The sequence below is a fragment of the Homo sapiens genome, chromosome 22, assembly GCF_000001405.40.
Source record: "Homo sapiens chromosome 22, GRCh38.p14 Primary Assembly".
In the NCBI taxonomy this organism is placed as follows: Eukaryota; Metazoa; Chordata; class Mammalia; order Primates; family Hominidae; genus Homo; species Homo sapiens.
Genome location: NC_000022.11, coordinates 33065046 through 33085418, shown reverse-complemented (window position 1 = coordinate 33085418; position 20373 = coordinate 33065046). Strand labels below are relative to the sequence as shown.

At 41.4% G+C, this 20373-nt stretch overlaps 1 protein-coding gene across 1 annotated transcript in view; it reads left to right on the top strand.

Moving 5' to 3' along the window:
- Positions 1 to 18756, top strand: part of LARGE1 (LARGE xylosyl- and glucuronyltransferase 1) — an 856162-nt gene extending 837406 nt beyond the window's left edge. Inside the window, exon 16 of the transcript XR_007067993.1 lies at positions 18302 to 18756. The gene's annotated coding sequence lies outside the window, so the exon portion shown is untranslated. The remainder of the gene's footprint in view (positions 1 to 18301) is intronic.
- The last annotated feature ends 1617 nt before the right edge of the window (positions 18757 to 20373 follow it).

The following is a 20373-nucleotide window of genomic DNA, read 5'->3' as shown; positions in this document are numbered from 1 at the left end:
TGATGAGCCAGTTTTGTCAATATAGATTTAAAAATTAAATGAAAATGATGCTTTGATATTCCATTCTGTTTTTAGAAAACTTTTAAGTTTGTTTCAAACAGCTTGAGCATGTGATTCTACTGTTTATTTTTTTATTTTTCTTTGAGACGGAGTCTCGCTCTGTCACCCAAGCTAGAGTGCAGTGGCGCGATCTCGGCTCACTGCAATCTTCGCTTCCCGGGTTCAAGTGATTCTCCTGCCTCAGCCTCCCGAGCAGCTGGGACTACAGGTGCCCGCCACCACACCCAGTTAATTTTTGTATTTTTAGTAGAGACGGGGTTTTGCCATGTTGGCAAGGCAGGTCTCGAACTCCTGACCTCAGGTGATCCACCCTCCTTGGCCTCCCAAAGTGCTGGGATTACAGGTGTGAGCCACTGTGCCTGGCCAATTCTACTGTTTTTGAGAATATGCTTTATAAAATCTAAATATAGATAAAATATTTTTGATGAAAATTAGCTTATAAATTAAGATGTGCTGTCAGTGTAAAATACTCACTAGATTTTGAGGATGTTGTTATAATAAAAAGAATGTGAACTATCTAGTTGATAATTTTCCATGTTGATTAGATGTTGAAATGGTAGTATTTGTATATATTGGGTTAAATAAACTACATTATGAACATTAATTTCATCTGTTTCTTTTTACTTTTTAATGTGGTTGCTAGAAAATTTAAAATTACATATGTGGCTTACATTATATTTCTGTTTGTTTGTTTTGTTTTTTTTGAGACCAGGTCTCACTCTGTTGCCCAGACTGAAGTGCAGTGTTGCTATCATGGCTCACTGCAGCCTCAACCTCTTGGGGTTCAAGCAATCCTCCCACCTCAGCTCCCAAGTAGCTGGGACTACAGGTGTGAGCCACCACACCAGGCTTTTTTTTTTTTTCGAGAGACAAGGTCTCACTATGTTGTCCAGGCTGGTCTCAAACTCCTGGGCTCAAGCCATCCTCCCACCTTGGTCTCCCAAAGTGTTGAGATTAAAGGCATGAGCCACTGTGCCTGACCTTGCATTATATTTCTATCAGACAGCAATGAGGGTATAGACATCAATAAGACCTAGTTCCTTCCTTCAAGCAGAAAACTAAACACAGAAACAGCCAATCATAAAACATTATGGAAGTCAAGGGATGGAATTCAAAGATGCTGAAGAAGTATCAGAGAGTGTACCTAACTCAGCTTGGGGAAACCAAGGAGGACTTCTTTGAGGAGGCGATAACTGAATTTGATCTTAAAAGAGGAGTAGAGATTAAATAAATAAGAAAAAATAAACATGACTTTCCAATGGAATGGTCATTTTCAACAATGGGCTATAGGAGTGAAGTAGCAAACTCATGTGGGAGACAAAAAGCAGTTCTGGTTTACTGGGGTGTAAAGTGTAAGGAAGATATGGCTGGAGATCAGGCTGAAGAGGCAAATTAGATCATGAGGGGCCTGGTAGATTGTGCTAAGATTGGGACTTATTCTATAGGTGACAGCTAAGGGTTTTAAGTAGAGCACTCAGGCAGTAAACCCTGTAAACTCTTGCTGGGAGGTTTTCCTTTCCCAATCTGTTTCACTGTGGAAGTGGGAGTACTGATCATTTTCATTGCTTGATTGAACTGAGTCAGTGGCAGGGACCTTTCTCAAGAGATGACCTCTTACATTGTGTGGCAGCTGGTTTCGTGTCACTAGAGACAGTCCTCCCTCATTCAACACACTTCGAACTCACAAAGCTGATTAATTTAGCCTTAAATCTCAGCATTTATTTATTCCACTGATCACTATCTGATATATTATATATTTTTTCATGGTTCAGACTTTCCCCTACTGAAATGTAAGCTGAGTGAAACAGAGACTCTGTCAGTTCATGACTATATCCTTAGAGACTTTCATATAGCAAGTGCTCAGTGAGTACTTTTGAACAAATAATCACATTAGATAAGATAGTGACACCTACTGACAATGTGTAGTATTGTAATCTAGCTCTACTGCACTCTGTAATTACTTGGATATGACACCTAAGGAAGACAAATTCCATCAGCAGGGAGTCCCTATCTCTGAATGATGCTGACTTAACTGGCCCAAAATTACAACAAGTGAAAAGTCAAGGAAGGCAAATGCATACCTAGAAAATTATGGCAGCCTAGCATAGTGAAAGAACAGAGACTTGAGACTCACATTGACATGGGTTTTCCTCCCCACCTCAGGTATTTACTTGCTGTGTGACACTGGGCAAAGTAATTCACATCTCTAAGCCTTAATTTCCCCATTCATAAGAAAAGGCAATAAAACCAACAGTGTTTTGATATTAGAAATGATATATTTAGAGTGTCTACTGTAAATGGTAGTTTATTATTTTTATTTTTATTTTTATTTTGAGACGGAGTCTTCACTGTGTCACCCAGGCTGGAGTGCAGTGGCATGATCTCAGCTCACTGCAAGCTCCGCCTCCCGGGTTCACACCATTCTCCTGCCTCAGCCTCCCAAGTAGCTGGGACTACAGGTGCCCGCCACCACGCCCGGCTAATTTTTTGTATTTTTAGTAGAGATGGGGTTTCACCGTGTTAGCCAGGATGGTCTCGATCTCCTGACCTCATGATCCACCCACCTCAGCCTCCCAAGGTAGTTTATTAAGTATTAGTTTCTGTATAAGGCTTTATGGAGGGGAGGGAACTTGTCTGTTGCTAACTATCTCTCCTTCATTGTGGTCCGGAAGGAGCTTTGAAATCATTCCCATGCATTTGGTTTTTCAGAGAAGGTATTTCTCTGCTCATTTCATTGCAGGCCATTTCCTGGCCTTGCACAGTGAGTGAATAAGTAAATGCGTAGATTGCTCAGACTTCTGAGATCAGAAACCTTTCTCAGGAGGTTTTCCAGGCACAAGAAAATCAATAGCAGATGTCAAGCAGCTTCAAAGCTGATTACCTTGAAATGAATGGTCACACCTCCTTTCCAGCCAGGTCTCCATCTTTCTCTTGTTCAAGGGTCAGCTGCAATACATTAGATCCCTAATTAAGAAAGAAGATGATCAGCAAATGACTCCTCTGAGCAGAATACTAAACAACCGGAAGGGTCTTGGAACAGATCTGCTGGCATCTGCACAGAGGAAGAACATGTAGATAGAATTGAAGCTGCCTTAATTGGTAGTGGTGTAGGGATTGTATTTCACTGCTCTGCTGGGAGTAATAAAGGCCGACATTATAATCAGTGCGGCAGTAGAGAAATGGAAACTTAGAATCTGAGCTGCTCTGCTATTCAACTAGAGCCAGTGAAAAGGAAATGGATACTCTTGGCTGGTTGAAAATGTAGAGCCTCCACCAAATAATTAAAATACCCTTGGCAGGGTAAAACTAGACCCTACACCTAATAATAATAATAATAACAACGACAATAACAACAATATTATCTATGGAGTGAAGCTGACCTCGATTTAAATTCTTTGTCTATTACCCATTTAGCCTAAAGCATATTGCTTAGCCTCCCTGAATCTCCCTGAATCTTATCATTTATAAAATGGGATCATGGAAAATGTTAAATAATTAATCTATCATAACTGGCAGAATTCCCAGCACAGAGAAAGCTTGCAGACAATGAAAATCTCTTTCTCCCCTCCCTTTCCCTATGTGCTATTCAAAGTGTCTTTATATTTGTCAGATGTTCCCAGTCTAGGTTCTGGATAGACATGAGGGTAGAAGGCTACAAAACCTCTGGTATTTTATGCAAAATGTCATATGAATGTGGTCTTTTCTGATGAGCATGTCCATAGTTTTCAGCAGATTCTCAAAAAGGGTTAATCTCTCAAAAAGTTTGAAAAAATCCCTGGTATATTTTATCTTTCTTTTATGACTTGGCCTCTGCTTCCCCCTGCACCCGTATTGCCTACTGTTTTCTTCCTCATCACTGTATTCCAGCTACTCTGACTCCCTTTATTCCTCAAAGATGCCATGCTCATTCCTGCCTCAGTCTTTTACTTATCATTCTTTCTCCTCCCTACGTCTTCACATGCAAAACTTAGCTCACAGGTTACTTCTGGAGATGGTCCTTCCCTGACATCCTAATCCAAAGAATCTTCTCCAGTTACTTTCTATTGTATCAGTATTAATCTGTTCAGGCAGCTATAGATTGCTGCATAGACTGGGTGATTTAAACAATAGACATTTATTTCTCACAGTTCTGGAGGCTGGGAAGTCCAAGATCAAGGTGCCAGCTAATTCAGTTCCTGGTTAACGTTCTCTTCCTGACTAGTAGATGGCCACTTTCTCATTATGCTGTCACATGGCAAAGAGAGAGTGATTACCTTCAAAAGGCCCTATGTCCACATACCTCACACTGGGGAATAGGGATCCAACATATGAATTCTGAGGCAAAACAGTTCAGTCCAGAACTGTGTGCCAATTACTACAAGAGTGGATGGATGGATGGATGGATGGATGGATGGATGGATGGATGGAAGACAGATGGATGAACGGATGAGCAGATGGATAGATGGATGGATGGATGACTTTTGAGTGCATCCCTGTAAGGCATAGAAGAAAAGTTTCTTTTCCCATTTTACAGATGGGTAAACTGAACCGAGGTTCAGTGCCTCAGAAAAGGCTTATGGACAGCAGTTAAGAGTATTCTCTGGAGCTAACTGCCTGAATTCAAATCCCAGCTTTACCACTTATAAATTATGTAACTTTGGGCAAGTTACTTAATCTCTCTGTTCTTCAGTGTCCTCATCTGCAAAATGCTGCTAATAATTATATATGATATTAGTCATTAGAGCTGTTCACCAGTATTCTGATTCTTCCACTTCTAGGCACATAAGCCATGTGTTCCATGCCCACGTGAAGTTAGGTCTGGATATCAAATGTGAGCTGAAGTGTCTGTGTCATCCCCTTGTGGAAACTTTTAAGAGCTAATGTGAGATTTGCCCTTTCCTGTTCTCTGACATAAAATCTGAAACATTCTGTATGAAGGTCATTTTCTTAGCCTGCATCCTGGGGTGAAGACAGAGTGGAACGGAATTCCCATGAACCTACAACGAACAAAGAGCACGAGTGAGAAACAAACTACTGAGATCTGGTGGTTGTTTGTTATCACAGCATAACCTAGCTAAGCTTGACAAATACACATATATACCAACTTACTGAGCTCTTGTAAGAATTAAATGAGGTGATGCAAGTAACATGATTCAAAAACATCTGGCACATAGTAGACACTACATAAGTGCTTGCAATAATTATTACTCAGTGAATGTCGAAGCTAAGACTAAAACTCATGTTTCCTGGGGCTATAATTATAAAACAAATTTTACTGCACTTTTTAATTCTTAAATCTACAAAGGAACATTTGAGAGGAAGAGGGGAGGATCCACAGAAGCCTTCCCTCCACATGCCTGCCACCTCTGGCTCTAAGAAACCCAGCACCTGGAGGCAATGAGGACAAGTTCCTGAGCACATGCAAGAGGACAGTCCCCCTGATAGCTCTCTTGTGCTCTGCCAGGCCAATGATGCCATTGTCGGAGAAAAGAGCCATGATCAATTTTCATGGGTTTTGCCCTCAACGGGTCATTCCTGTTCATCTTTTCCTTCCTTCTTCTTTTCTTGGGGGCTCAGAGTAAAATTATGTCTTAAGGGGAAAGTTCCAAGCAGCACTACTTGCTAGGTTCTTCTAAGCAGAATGGACAACTCATTTATTGCCAACCAACTTTGTAAGGAAACTAGAGTTTCCTTAAACGAACTGGGTTGGTACCTCTGAAAAGCTTAGAGACACTTGAAAACAAATAATAGAGTGTGATCCAGTCTAGTCTATCTTATCAGTAACATAGCAGTGAGGAGTTAATAGGCATCAAAAATAATAAAAGTTGTAGGTAATAAGAATGATAACTAGATGGCCAGGTGTGGTGGCTCACGCCTGCAATCCCAGAACTTTGGGAGGCCAAGACGGGCAGGTCATGAGGTCAGGAGATCGAGACCATGCTGGCTAACACAGTGAAACCCCATCTCTACTGAAAATACAAAAAATTATCCGGGCGTGGTGGCGGGCGCCTGTAGTCCCAGCTAGTTGGGAGGCTGAAGCAGGAGAATGGCGTGAACCCAGGAGGCGGAGCTTGCAGTGAGCCGAGATCACGCCACTGTCCTCCAGCCTGGGTGACAGAGTGAGACTCTGTCTAAAAAAAAAAAAAAAAAAAAAAAAAGAATGATAACTAGATATCATGGAGACTTATGTCAGGCACCGCTGCCTCTAAGCGCTTTATGTACCTTAATCATTTAATCATCACCCTACACTACTAGGGAGTTACTAGTATTACCATCCTCATGGCATAGATGAGAAACTGAGGCACAAGAAGCTAAGGAACTCAACACTGACACCAAGTAGAGCCAGGTTCAAGCCCAGGCCATCCAGCTCCAGCATCCATGCTTGTAGTTAGTGTGCTGTGTTGTCTCTCACCTGTTTAAGGTGTTACGTAGTTTCACACTTCCATGCCTTTGCACGTGATATTTTCTCTCACATTTTAAAACTTAGATCAAGAGACATCTCATCTGTGGAGCTTGCCCTGACCTCGCCTCTAACCCTCTCCTTTGAGGCAGTCACTTACTTTTCTGTGACCCTCTGTGCCTTTATTACAACAAATTTCACACTAAGTCATGAGTAATTTAGGGGAAGAGACTACATCTTAATAATCTTAGCATCTCTGGTATCTTGCACAGTCCCTGGCACAAAATAAAGGCTAATTCAATGTTGTTGAATTGATTTGTAAGGATTCAAAAAACATGAGTACATAGAGGGCAATACAATATAGTGACAGACAGCATTGGTTGTGGAGTCAGACTGCCTGGCTTCAAATCCTGGTCAGTAATTTTCATAACTAACTGGTATGACCATGGACATGTTAACTTATTTTTCTGTGCCTCGATATTTTCCTCCTATACAATGGGTATAATAACAGTACATGTTGTAATGGATTATTACATGGATTAAATTAGATAATGTAGCAAAGAACTTAACCTGGGTCCTGGCACATAGTAGGTGCTCAATAAATATTGGCTCCTACTGCCTGAGCTTCCTGGTACATTTCTCGCTAAAGATGTATTATAGCTATGCCTATCACTGACTAATGAGGAAAGAGCCTCATATGAATATGGCTAAATGATGACAATTTGGCAGACTTAGAGGTGTAAACCAAATTATCTGTAAAGCTGCAGGACTCTAGTTAATGTAGTCCATGACCAACAGCAATCAGCAAAAGCACTCAGCATTTTTTTTCCATTCAGATGGATGGAGGCAAAGCAGTCAAAACTAGGGAAAGAGAAATCACCGGAGAAAATTGATTACACCATTACCAGTTATTTTCTGGGACAATACTAATATAGCTTTCATTATTTCTTTTTTACGCCAGTCTTCTACTGCAAATTGCAAATAGTACATGCAGTTCAGATTTCACTCAAAAGGAGACTAGTTTTGAAAAAAAAAAGGAAACGAAACAAAGGTGCATAAACACCTTCATCCTAGATGGACATGAACTACAGATTATTATACTCAGTGTATAAGTGAAATGTAAAGTGAAGAATGTTCAGTATTAAAATTTAGACTAACGATGAAATGAACCTTAAACTGCACCGTCAGAATTATTTTAATAACTGAATTAGAGGTGAAGACAGTAAACCAAAAAGCATAAAATGTTCTAATCCCTGTGTTAAGATGATCAGGTAAAATATGCATAATATATGTTTAGGATCTACATGCTAATTGTACTGATTGGAAAAGGCATGCACAAATACCCCTTCTCTTTCTATCCCCTCAAGGAAAAAAGATTAAAATATTGGAAATTCATCTCGTTTTATTGTGAGGCTGTTATAGCTCAGTATTAAAGAAAGACTTGATCACTTATAGAAAATGCCCCTTTCATATCCAATCTGCTCTCCACATTACTAACATTAGGGAATCCAAATATTAAGAAGCAGTAAAATGGCGTCTTATTTAGATGTATTAGTCTTATAAAACCTAAATAAGAGCCCAGATTTCTAAACAGCCTAGGTTTAAATCTGAGTGCCAAAAGTACTATATGACTCTGGGGTAGTTACTTAGGCACTCTATGAGGTTCCTCACTTTATAATGGGAATAATAATAGTACCTAGATCATGTACTATTGTAAGTAATTAGTAAATTAGTATGCCTGGTACATAATAAGCACTCAATAACTTTAATCATTATTATGTAACTTGTATGTACTATTCCTAAATCTCCTTTTGAAAAGGAATGCAAACAAGGAGTAATAATAATAATAACAATAATACATAGCACTTACACTGTTGCAGGTTCAGTTTTGAGCATTTCTTGTGTATTAACTCTTTTGATCCTCATAGCAACCTTTTGAGATAGTCTTACTGGGTAGAAGTGACATGACTTGCTCAGGGTCACACAGCCAGTGAGTAGTACAACCCTGATAGGAACCCTGGCAGTCTGATTCCAGAGACCTCCCACTTGAGCATTAAATATGTATCCAATTCTTTGAGCACTGTGACTGAATTTATTCACTATTCACTAAAAAGAAAATCCATTGAGAATGAACTCTGGGTCAAGTAACATCCCAGCTCTTAAGATACAACGCTAAAGAAGAAAGAGTCTCTCAAAAAAGTTACAATTTCTATAGCTATATGGCTTATCTTAAGCTTATCTGTGTTTATTTTGTTTATAGACATATGGATAAACACTATTGGACAGATCTGTAGGCTTTTATGAAGTCTAACTCTTTCCCTTTTACCTTTCCCTCTTCCAGCTGAAACATTCACACTTGAAATCTGAAGGACTTGTATAATACAATTCAGCACCACGGACAGCAGGAAAAATCCCATTGACAGAATAAATCTGAAGTTTTCCTTTCAGTATTCATGAAAATCTGGTGCTTCAAAACAGATACACACACATCCAATTAGGTACTCAAAAATATCTTCAGAAGAATCCTAGAAATTACAAAACACAAGTCCTTGGAACAGAGAATGAAAATTGCATCCACAAGGCCACATAGCCAAAGCCAAGAACTAAGCTCCTAGAACTAATCTACTTATAATAAATCCCATCACAAGTATACTGTCACCATCAAGCAGAATTGTGTGTATCTCCAGTGACATGGGTGTGTTTACTATGGCACTTTCTCAAATAGGAATTAAGGAAGAAGTCACGTACTCTGATTTAAGTGCCAGAGAAATATCTTATCCAATCAGTTAGGGAGACTTATTTCCTAACAGTATAACTTATTATTTCCTGTTTCCTAATATTTTTGAAGTCATGGGTTGAAAATGAGTTTCAAGGTCAGGTAGAGGAGAAATAGATTCAAGTTACTACTGCCCTTGCCTTAGACACTGAATTTCTTTGACCTTGTTGAATACATTAGAATTCTTTCCAGCCTATCGATGTTTATTAGATTTGATATTGCCTAATTCTGACATCCCAAAGGAAGGTGACTCACTCGCAGTAAACGTGTTATCATTCTCTAAGGATATGTCTAATCTGCATGACATCGTCTTATCTGGAAGACACATTTTAGGTGGATAGTCCCCAGAGCTCATGAAAGGAAAATTTTCCATTTGTTATGTTTCTCTAATCCTATTCAATTATAACAGCTATGAGAAGCATCTTTGAAGAGGAAGGAATGTGATACCGTGAAGGAAAATAGAATTATAGATTTAATTACTCAAGACCATATTTACTATAATAGTCAGTGCAAAGCTTTTCAAAGAAGTCTTCATTGAGTAAATAAGAATTGTCATAAATCTTTCTCCTCCAAGATCCTTTCAACAATTATTCAGGTTCTACCACCTACTAGCTATGTAATTATGGAAAGTTACTAACATTCTCCAAGCCTCGGTCCCCTTATCTATACAATGAGGGCTGTTTTACTTAGGATTCCTCACTGGAGCATTGAGGAATAATGAGACAATTTCTCACCACATGGTGTAGAATTGTAGGAAACAGAAGCAGAGGAAATGAGGCCCAGGTGACTGATTCACCTAAGGAAGATCAAATACATTTTTTGATAAAACAAATTAAGTAAATCCTCCTACAGATAGACACAGGATTTTCTTTGTCACTACTGATGAAATTCTTCAACTATTCTAAAGTTAGAAGACCACGGTATTTGGAGTAAGAAGATCTGGACTTGATTCCAACTCTATCACATAATAGCTACCATATCTCCCTCCCTACCAAGACTTTACCTAGCTACAGAAACATAGCTATTTCACTGAAATGGTGGCTATCACTGTCTCTTGGTAAAGAATCCAATTAGCTACTTGGATTAAAAGAGAGAAGCAGGTGTTGCATAATGGTTAATAGTTCAGGCTATAACACTGGTACGCATTTAAATCTTGGTTCCAACACTCATTGCCTGAGTAACTTTGGCCAAGTTACATAAGCTCGCTAAGCTTGGAATTCCTCATCAGCAAAATGTAGATAATATGAATAACTATCACATGCCTATGTTATGATGATTTTAAATGTTAACATGTGTAAAGCACTTAGAACAGTATCTGGTACAGAATAAAAACTCAGTAAATGTCAAATATATAGAAAACATGCTGGACTAAAGTAATCCAGGCCCCTGGGGCAAGGACCCCCTTCACTTACTTCCCAGATATAAGACTAAAGACAAAGGACCCTTTCTCCTCTGTAGATCTGCTTATTATGGAACTATGATTTTTTTCTTTTTTTCTTTTTTGTTTGTTTGTTAGTTTGTTTGTTTCTAAGATGGAGTCTCACTCTGTCGCCCAGGCTGGAGTGCAGTGGTGTGATCTCGGCTCACTGCATCCTCCGTCTCCCTGGTTCAAGCAATTCTCTGGCCTCAGCCTCCTGAGTAGCTGGGACTACAGGCACGCGGCACCACACCTGGCTAATTTTTGTATTTTTAGTAGAGATGGGGTTTCACCATGTTGGTCAGGATGGTCTGGAACTCCTGACCTCAAGTGGTCTGCCCACCTCGGCCTCCCAAAGTGCTGGGATTACAGGCGTGAGCCACCACGCCCAGCCGGAACAATGACTTTTACATATTTATTTTTCTTAAGGCCATTCCTTGCTCAAATCATGACTCACATTGCGGTCATGATTATGGAGGAAAATCATATCAAAGGTACTTTATTGCAACTCACAACAATGTATGAATGAGTGGAATTCTATGGAGGAGAGATGTGGGAAGCGGTCCCGGTAAAGGAGTAGGTGATCCTGGCCATAAAGAAGAAGAGTGAGGAGGGGGACACAAAGCCAAGCCACATGTTCTCCTCCTGACATTTACAAGTGCTGAGCTACATCTCAGCTGATTCACCCAGTCACGCTGCTTTCCTGTTGACATCAGTCCAGAGGATAGAAACATAATATGAATCACCAGAATGAGCAGACAATAAGCCCGGATGAGTTTAAGGGGAAAGGGAGAGAGTGAGAGCCAGGAAGGAAGCTTCTAGTTAGGAAAGGTAGGAGATGTGGATGCCCTCATGCTGCCATGGGAGGATTATAGGAATGGTATTACTTACAGTCGCTGTCTGCAGGGCTGTTGTCTGGAGTACAGATGATAACCCCAAACATACATGTGAAGGAGGTAAGGTTTATTAGCATGTATATGTTCTCGGCTACCAAATCCTTTACCTCACTCGTATTAACGCAATTTTCTTTTTACTTGGTTAGCAATCAGTGATGTTTTGGCTTGCTATCCCAATTTGTAGGGTTTTGTGATATAAATTCAAAAGAATATGAAGAATGTGAATGGGAAGCCAGGCTCAGAGATCCAAAAGGAATGCCAAGAGGAAATAAAAATAAAAGTTGCAGGGTTGGGTGTTAGAGAGAGTGGAGGAGACTTTATGAGGGGTGGGCTCTAGAGCATCTAAGAGGTGGGAGAGAATGGAGGGAAAGGTTAAGGAGGAGTTTAGAAAATTGTTCTAGGTTATAAAATGGATTCCATGTATTGGTCTTCAAGAGAACCCGGCATAGCTTAAAACTCCTTTAAAATTCCTTTTGATTGGTAGATTGGACTTCTAAAATATGATTTTTAATATTCAGAGGCTGGTCCAGGGTTCAATAATCAGGGTTACGTGTGTGCACACAGATCCTTCAAATTTCAGCCCCACTCTACAGAGATGGATTGGGACCTGCAAGACCCTTTATTGTACTAAAGAGTTGTTGATGAAGGCAAATGAGAAAATGTCTGCAAAGTTTATTTAAACTTTAGGAATGAAGTTTAAAGTACATAAAACAAAATCCTCTGTCTTTTCCTGAACAGAAATAGAAGGCATTTCACCACTACCCCACCCCATATGGGGGAAGAAAATCGGTCAACAGACGACCTGTTTAAATTGGATGAGAGTTGACATGATGTTCCCATCATCAGGGAAATTATGAACTGTAATGATAGGAAATGTATATCCCTCGAGACGGCCGCAGGAAAAACTGGTTTTCTCCCTTGCCTAGAAATGTCTGTGCTGAGCATTATTAACAGGTGGTGCAGCTGGAATGAAGGCCAGCCCTGGCGTTTCATAGATCAGTGTTTGACAGCCAGGACTACGAACAACCTTCATTGGCATGAGCTGGACCGGAGAATGGATGAGAAAAGGTCTTCAGGCTATGCCCTGTGGTCTGGGGTGGGTGACACTGAGTTTGGATTTAGACTTGGGAGAGAGAGTCAGAATTGGCTTTATGAGAGAATGAGATTGTGCCAAGCTGAGAAGTGCTCCATCACTGACCCACACTAGCCCACCACCGACCAATCCAGGCTATGTATCAGTATCTCCACGGAATATTTTTAGAAATATACATTCTGGTACTTTACCTTTAGAGCCCTGATTCAATAAATCTCAGATGAGACCTGAGCATCACTTTTTTATGAGCTTCCCAAATGATTCTGGTGAAGTTTTTCCACCAGCAGGAATTTAAAAACCACCAGTTAATTCAATCACAACTATCTATTGTCTCCTGATCAGCCAGCTAAGAAAATGATTCCCCTTGCCATGAACCAGTCAATCAGGGCCTTTTTATTCTTTTTCATTTCCCTGGAAAATCCTATCCAGGACAAAATGAAGAAAAGTGCTCCAGCCTCTCTTAAAATACCATACAGACATCTCCTCCTCCTCCCCCACCTCCTCCTCCTTCTCCTCCTCCTCCTCTTTTTCTTTTTAATTTGCACATCAAAAATAAAACAGAGCTTAACTGTGTACACAGCCTACATTAAAACAGAAATATGTTTTGCCTCATAGGCATTTTTGAGCAGATCTCGAGAGACAGTCTTTTGGACCCAGGGATGTGATGGTGTCACATGAGGGAGGAGTACGTTCTGCATGGGGAGGGCAGGGAGGTGGAAACCAGAAGCAAGCAACCCACTTGGTGTCCAGTAAAGTGATGGTTCCCATCAGGGTTTGGGCTATAAAGGACCTGTAGTGCTCCAATCTGCATTTAGGGGATCAAAACAAGATCAGAAACGGCCGGGTAGTAGCTCCAGAACAGAGAATCCAGAGGCTTGATAGCCCCACGTGGGAAGAGTCAGGAACAGCCAGGTAGGAAGGCTGGGGCCTTGATCTCGGCAGGCCAATTAAAGAGACCTCATCTCTGACTGGCAGCACAGCAGTTCCCAAACGTGGGCCCCTGGACATCAGAAGTAATCAAGTAACTAGTTTCCAGTACAGATTCATAGGCCCTTCCCAATTTCTGATCCTTGCCACTTTCTGTCTTATTTATTATGCTAGTCATTCCACCAGTCCATAAACATGTATTAATATAAAGTATCTTCTACATGCTTGCTGGTCTGTTAACTGTGTGAGAACAGGGGCTCCATGTGTCTTGTTCAGCCTCAATGTGTAGTACAATGCCTGAAAACAATATGCATGTATTCATTTAAAAATAGGAGCATGTGCCTATTATCTGTCCAGCTTATCTAGGCACTGGGATACAGTGATCGACAAATGTGCCCCCTACAACAAAAATTTCAGAGTCTAGTGGAGGAGACAGCCCAGGAATCAATACATCACAGCATCATGACACACACTTTAACAACGTGTATAAACATCTCCTACCTACTGAATCCACTTTCACATAGGAGCCAGAGAGATCTTCCCAAAACTCAAATCCAGACACTGTATTTCTTAAAGGCAACCCATAAATATCTTCATAGCCTGTGGCTCCTCTTCCCAAAGTGGGGTCTGTAGAATCCAGGTACATAAGTGTCTGGGAAAGAAGTTCTCATGGTCAAAAACCTTTGGAAGACTCTGGGTTAAACTAAATGAAATCAATCAAGTTTCTTTAATGCAGGATTTGTCAGAGGCTGCATGATACCAACATGTCTTGCAAATCTCCAAAAGGGTAGGAGGTAGCGTTCACTACTTTCTCATTCTTATTTGATGTTGGCTTTTTTTATTTTTTTTAATTTTTTATTTCTGGCATGTGTTGAAGGACTAGTGTTTAGAAAACAGACTTTGGAAATTCTGGCTGATCACATCACGCCCAGCTCTCCACGATTGCCTGCCAAGCCTCTGCTCCCACTCCTGTTCTGTTGTTGCACTTTAAGAAACCCAAACTACTTTTTACTTTCGAGCCTTTGCTCATGCTGTTCACCCTTCCGGCACATTTCCCCAAGTCCTATAACTTCTCCCAGAACACACAAAATGTGCCTGGAACACTCACACATGTTCTTGAAGATTCCCCTCAGACACCACCTCCGCCAGAAGCCTCAGCTGTTCAGGTGCCTCTTCTCTATGTTCTCACAGTCCCGCCCCCTGCACAGTACTTAGTGTGCTATGCTCTCACGGTTGCACAGAACAAGAGCTTTTGGAGGGAAGGGGTCATTACAAGGCTTTGTTTATCTCTGTTGTATTACCAGGGCTTTTCAGTTTGTTGCTATTGATATTGGGGCTGGGTAATTCTTTGTTATGGGGGCTGTGCTGTTTGCTTTAGGATTTTAAAAGCATCACTTGCCTCTACCCACTAGACGCCAGTAGCACCACCACCACCACCTTCTCTAACCCACCCCACAAGCTGTGAGAACCAAAGATATCCCTAGACATTGCCTGATATCCCCAGAGGGATCGAAGTCATCTCTGGTTGCAAACCATTGTTCTATACATAGCACAGTATGTATATTAAACAAATATATATGTATATTAAACAAATATTTACTGAACATGTACTAGACCCCTGGCCCAGTGCCAAGCACAGGTAATACAAATGTGAACCAAACACATACTGGGCATTTAAGATGCTTGCAGGAATTGCAGGTCCTTGCAGGAATTGAGAAATAAACAGACATTATTAAGAATGTAATAACAGGCCAGGAGCGGCAGCTCATGCTTGTAATCCCAGCACTTTCGGAGGCCGAGGCGGGTGGATCACCTGAGGTCGGGAGTTCGAGATCAGTCTGACCAACATGTAGAAACCCCATCTACTAAAAATACAAAATTAGCGGTGTGCGATGGCGCATGCCTGTAATCCCAGCTACTTGGGAGGCTGAGGCAGGTGAATAGTTTGAACCTGGGAGGTGGAGGTTGCAGTGAGCCATGAGCCAAGAACGCGCCATTGCACTCCAGCCTGGGCAACAGGAGCAAAACTCCGTCTCAAAAAAAAAAAAAAAAAAGAATGTAATAACAGTCATAGTTGCATGAAGCAGAGAGACATTTACCTATTTTTTTGATTTGTTTTATATCTAGAGCTCCTAGGTCAGTGCCTAGTACATACAATGTATTCAATAAATATTTGTTGATGGATCATATTAGCTAAAATTTATAGGGTACTTATGGTGTACCAGAAAGTATTCTAAGCACTTTATGCATATGAAATTATTTTAGTTCATAATGAACCTAATAGGTTCAATTATTACACTCATTTTACAGATAGGGAAACAAATCCTGGAAATTGTAAGTAACTTGGCAGTGATCATGTGGTGAGTATGAGGCAGAGCTGAGACTTGAGCCCAGGCAGCCCAGTTTCAGAGTCTAAGTTCAAGAGCCCCAAGTGTTATCTCCAACGATGGCCAACATTTACCGAACTTTCCTTTGTGCTTTAATTCTCATACTTAACATCAGTTTATTTGAGAAAACGTGACACAGACAGGTTAAGTAATATCCATTCTCCCATAAGTAGTAACGGGCTGAGCTGAACCCTGTGCTCTGTCTGGCTGTGAGTGCCTGAATCTTTCATCACTATGCTTCATTGCCTTCATTATGGAAGTGAAATAAAGCATTGTTAGACGGCCGAATGAGGAATGGCGTCTAAATGGCTTCTGCATCCCTCACACTGCAAGCAGGAGTCTCATACATAGACAGTGCCACACACATGACTTGAAATGATGGCGATGAGGTATAAGGGATGAAACACTAGACTAAGACTGGGAGATCCAACTTGTCCTCCTGGCTCTGCCACAGAGTTTCTTTGTAACCTTGTGGACTTCACAGTCAAACAGGCCACCACTTAAGACACAAAAATGAGAGGTTTCTAGTTTCCTGGGTTCCCTCCAGCTCTGATGCTGATCCCAGCAGCCGCAGCCCTGAGTCCACCCAGAGAGCCCCTTTTCCATCTTGGAGGCCAACCAGGTAAAGCTTTTCCTTCAAGTGTTTTGATTGGTTTGTTCACCTCCTGAGGCACGTGCTGTTTTGGTTGCCTGGCAACACGGTGATGGAGACTACCAATTCCCAGAGGAGCAATGAATGAATGAGCAGAGATAGTCACTCTGGGAGCAGTGGCCACAGCCAGAGGAGTGCATTGCAGAATTCCTAACTCTGTCATTTATTTTTATTTATTTATTTTTTTGAGACACAGTCTTGCTCTGTGGCCCAGGCTGGAGTGCAGTGGCGCCATCTCGGCTCACTGCAAGCTCCACATCCTGGGTCCACGCCATTCTCCTGCCTCAGCCTCCCAAGTAGCTGGGACTACAGGTGCCCGCCACCACACCCAGCTAATTTTTTGTATTTTTAGTAGAGATGGGGTTTCACCGTGTTAGCCAGGATGGTCTCGATCTCCTGACCTCGTGATCTGCCCACCTCGACCTCCCAAAGTGCTGGGATTACAGGCGTGAGCCACCGTGCCCGGCCCCAACTCTGTCTGTCTTGAATGTGCTTTGCCCGTCCTACTAGTATAGCAGCGTAATGGAGATATTTGGGGGAAAGAAGAAGAATTTCCATTTCAAAGGTGGTAAAAATCTTTATGCACAATCTCAAGGGATTAAAATGCCACCTGCCCATAGTGAGGTGACCCAATCACAAAAATCACAACCACAGGTGTGCTTTAGTATTAATAATAAAAGATTTCCCTCCATGTAAAAAGCCATGGTTTTCTCTGTTCCACTTGCTTTTAGTGATACATTCCAGGTTCTGGATTTCAGGACAGGACATATAAATTGGTCCAATTGATCCTCATGATCATCTCACAAGACAGGAAGAACTGAACTTCAGTAGACAGAAAAGTCTTTTTTTTTTTTGAGACAGTCTCGCATTGTCGCCCGGGCTGGAGTGCAGTGATGCGATCTCAGCTCACTGCAACCTCTGCCTCCCAGGTTCAACCGATTCTCCTGCCTCAGCCTCCTGAGTAGCTGGGATCACAGGTGCCCGCCACCACGCCTGGCTAATTTTTTGTATTTTTAGTAGAGACGGGGTTTCACTATTTGGCCAGGCTTGTCTCGAACTCCTGACCTCGTGATCCATCCGCCTTGGCCTCCCAAACTGCTGGGATTACAGGCATGAGCCACTGCACCTGGCCTCAGAGAAGTCTTTTAGAATGGTTAAAAGCAATGCTTTTCAAAGAATGTGGATGTGGATCTGGGTTCAACTCCTGACCCTGGCACTCTTAGAGTGTGTGACTTTAGTAAGTTTCTTAGCTTCTCTGAGCCCATACATCTCTATCTTTAAAATGGAGGTATTAATATCTATCTTAAAGTGTCACTGAAAGAATTCAATAAGAAAATAAAGGTTAAACACTTAGCAGAGAGGCTGGTGCACAAGTGTATTATTATTAATTATTACTATCATTATCATTATTGCTTAAGATCACACACACTATTTAAGTGGTAAAGCTGGGATTTGAACCCAAATCTCTAGTAATGCCAAGGTAAATGTTTGCCATTATCTCGTTTCTTCTTTGAAAGGAAAAGTCATAAGAATGTATTCTTTCAATGACTATTTTTCAGCCACTATGTGATATAGCATTTTATAGACCAAGCAGTTCTTTCAAATGCCTTCTTTCACTGATTATGGTATGCTTACTCCTCTGAAGTCCAGATGGAGATGGTTTTGAAGAAAGTAATGATCTGCTTCTGGAAGTTAAGCTCTGCTCTCCTTCCAGGGGCTTGAAAACCAGGAAAGGGAGCCCCTCTCCCAGTGTAGCGGAGCCAGTCCAAGCAGAAGGTGACAAGGAATGCTGCTGGAACTCAGCATCCAGTCTCACAGAGCCTGAAGAAAGGCCAGTCAGCTGGTCCTCCTCTCATGCCTGTTCTGCTCGACACAAAGGACTGGAAGCATCAGTGTGTCTCTGGAGTCCAGCATGGAGGTACCGGTGTGTGGCCAGATGGCTGGAGTTCAGGCTGAATCTGTTCTTGCCGATGGCAAGTTCTCTAACTTCCAGCCAGGTGCTTCTCCACTGCCTCCCCGCAACACACAGGGTACAAATTTAAAGCCAGTTGTCTAGCTTCTGTTGCTACTTGCCTCTGCTTAGAATAGCTGAGCCGAATGGATCTTAGAAATCTCTCTCTTTTGCATGTCAATCATATCTGAATAAAGTGGTTCTTTTACAAAAGAAAATCTTTTCACTCTCTCTTTTTCTCTCTCCCTCTCTTTCTCCGCCTTCAGTTCTTTTCTCCTTCCTTCTCTCTCTCTCCTTTTAACCTTCTTTGTATTTGTCTTTATTTCTCTATCTCTGTCTCTCCACGCCTCACCGCCCCCTGCCCCAACACATGCACATACACTTTGCAATGGCACCTGAGCCACCTCTGGCAAATCCTGGGGCACTGGAAAGTAATGAGAAAACCATTGACTAGGCCCAAACCCCTCATTCTACAGAGGAGGAACAGAGACCCAGAGGAGGGAAGTGATTTGCCTGAGGTCACACAGTCGAACGCCCTGACTCCCAATCTCATGTGCTTTCTTTTTTATGGCACTGAATACAGAACCCTTTTTCAAGTTTCCATTCTAAAATCTTCCCATTTAAAAATATTGTACTTCATTGTTCAAATAAAAAAAGAAATTGCAAGAGTTTGGATTTTTAATTAAATTTTAATTACTGTATATCCATAATAATTATAACATCACAAAAATTTAAACATAATGGAAAAGACTAACGCCCTCTTTGAAATCCACCCACAAAAATACACATATAATGAGGTTCTCTCCTTGCTGCCCTTAGAGATAATTGTTAGCACTTTTTGTGTTTTATTTTATTTTATTTTTTTGAGATGGAGTTTTCACTCTTGTTGCCCAGGCTGGAGTGCAATGGCACAATCTCGGCTCACCGCAACCTCCGCCTCCCAGGTTCAAGCGATTCTCCCCCCTCAGCCTCCCAAGTAGCTGGGGTTACAGGCATGCGTCATCACACTTGGCTAATTTTTGTATTTTTAGTAGAGACGGGGTTTCTCCATGTTGGCCAGGCTGGTCTCGAACTCCAGACCTCAGGTGGTCCACCCACCTTGGCCTCCCAAAGTGCTGGGATTACAGGTGTGAGCCACCGCGCCTGGCCCTTTTTGTGATCTTAGAGTAGATGTGTATGTATATGTATGTGTGTGTACATACATGCTATATCCATTTTTCTTCAATTTGCCTTATTCATTCAGCAATAATGTTTAGCCATTATAACACATATGAATCTGCCACACTCTTTTTAGTGCTTTGTAATATTCCACGTATATGGCCCTGCCATTGTATACTTACCCATTCCTTATTGATGAACTGTTGGATGATTTCAGACAATGCTACAAAGGATATCGTCATATTGTGCCCTCCTCCTTCAGCACGTAAGGGAACCTGTCATTAGGGACAGTCCCTAGAGGTAAAGCAGCTGATTTGTGGCACATGAGCATTTTAAATGTTGAGACAACCTCATCTCCTTTCTCTTGATGCACATTGTCGCTTGAGGGTTACTGCTGTCGAATTATTCCTTCCACACCAAAGAGGAAATGAGATAAAATATTTTCTTGATTAAATAACACCACATGCACGGGAACAGATGGGTCTAGAAAATAGATCATGCACAGAAGGGATAAGCTGATGTGTAAATGGAAGAATTTGAAAGGTGTCCAGAGTCCTGTGACAAAGCACAACCCCTGTCAGCCTGCAACCATACCTGAGAGTTCCCTTATTAATGGTCCTCCTTCGGAGAAAAAGTATTCAGTCTCCAGAAGGCTCTTGTAAGAATATAAATACACT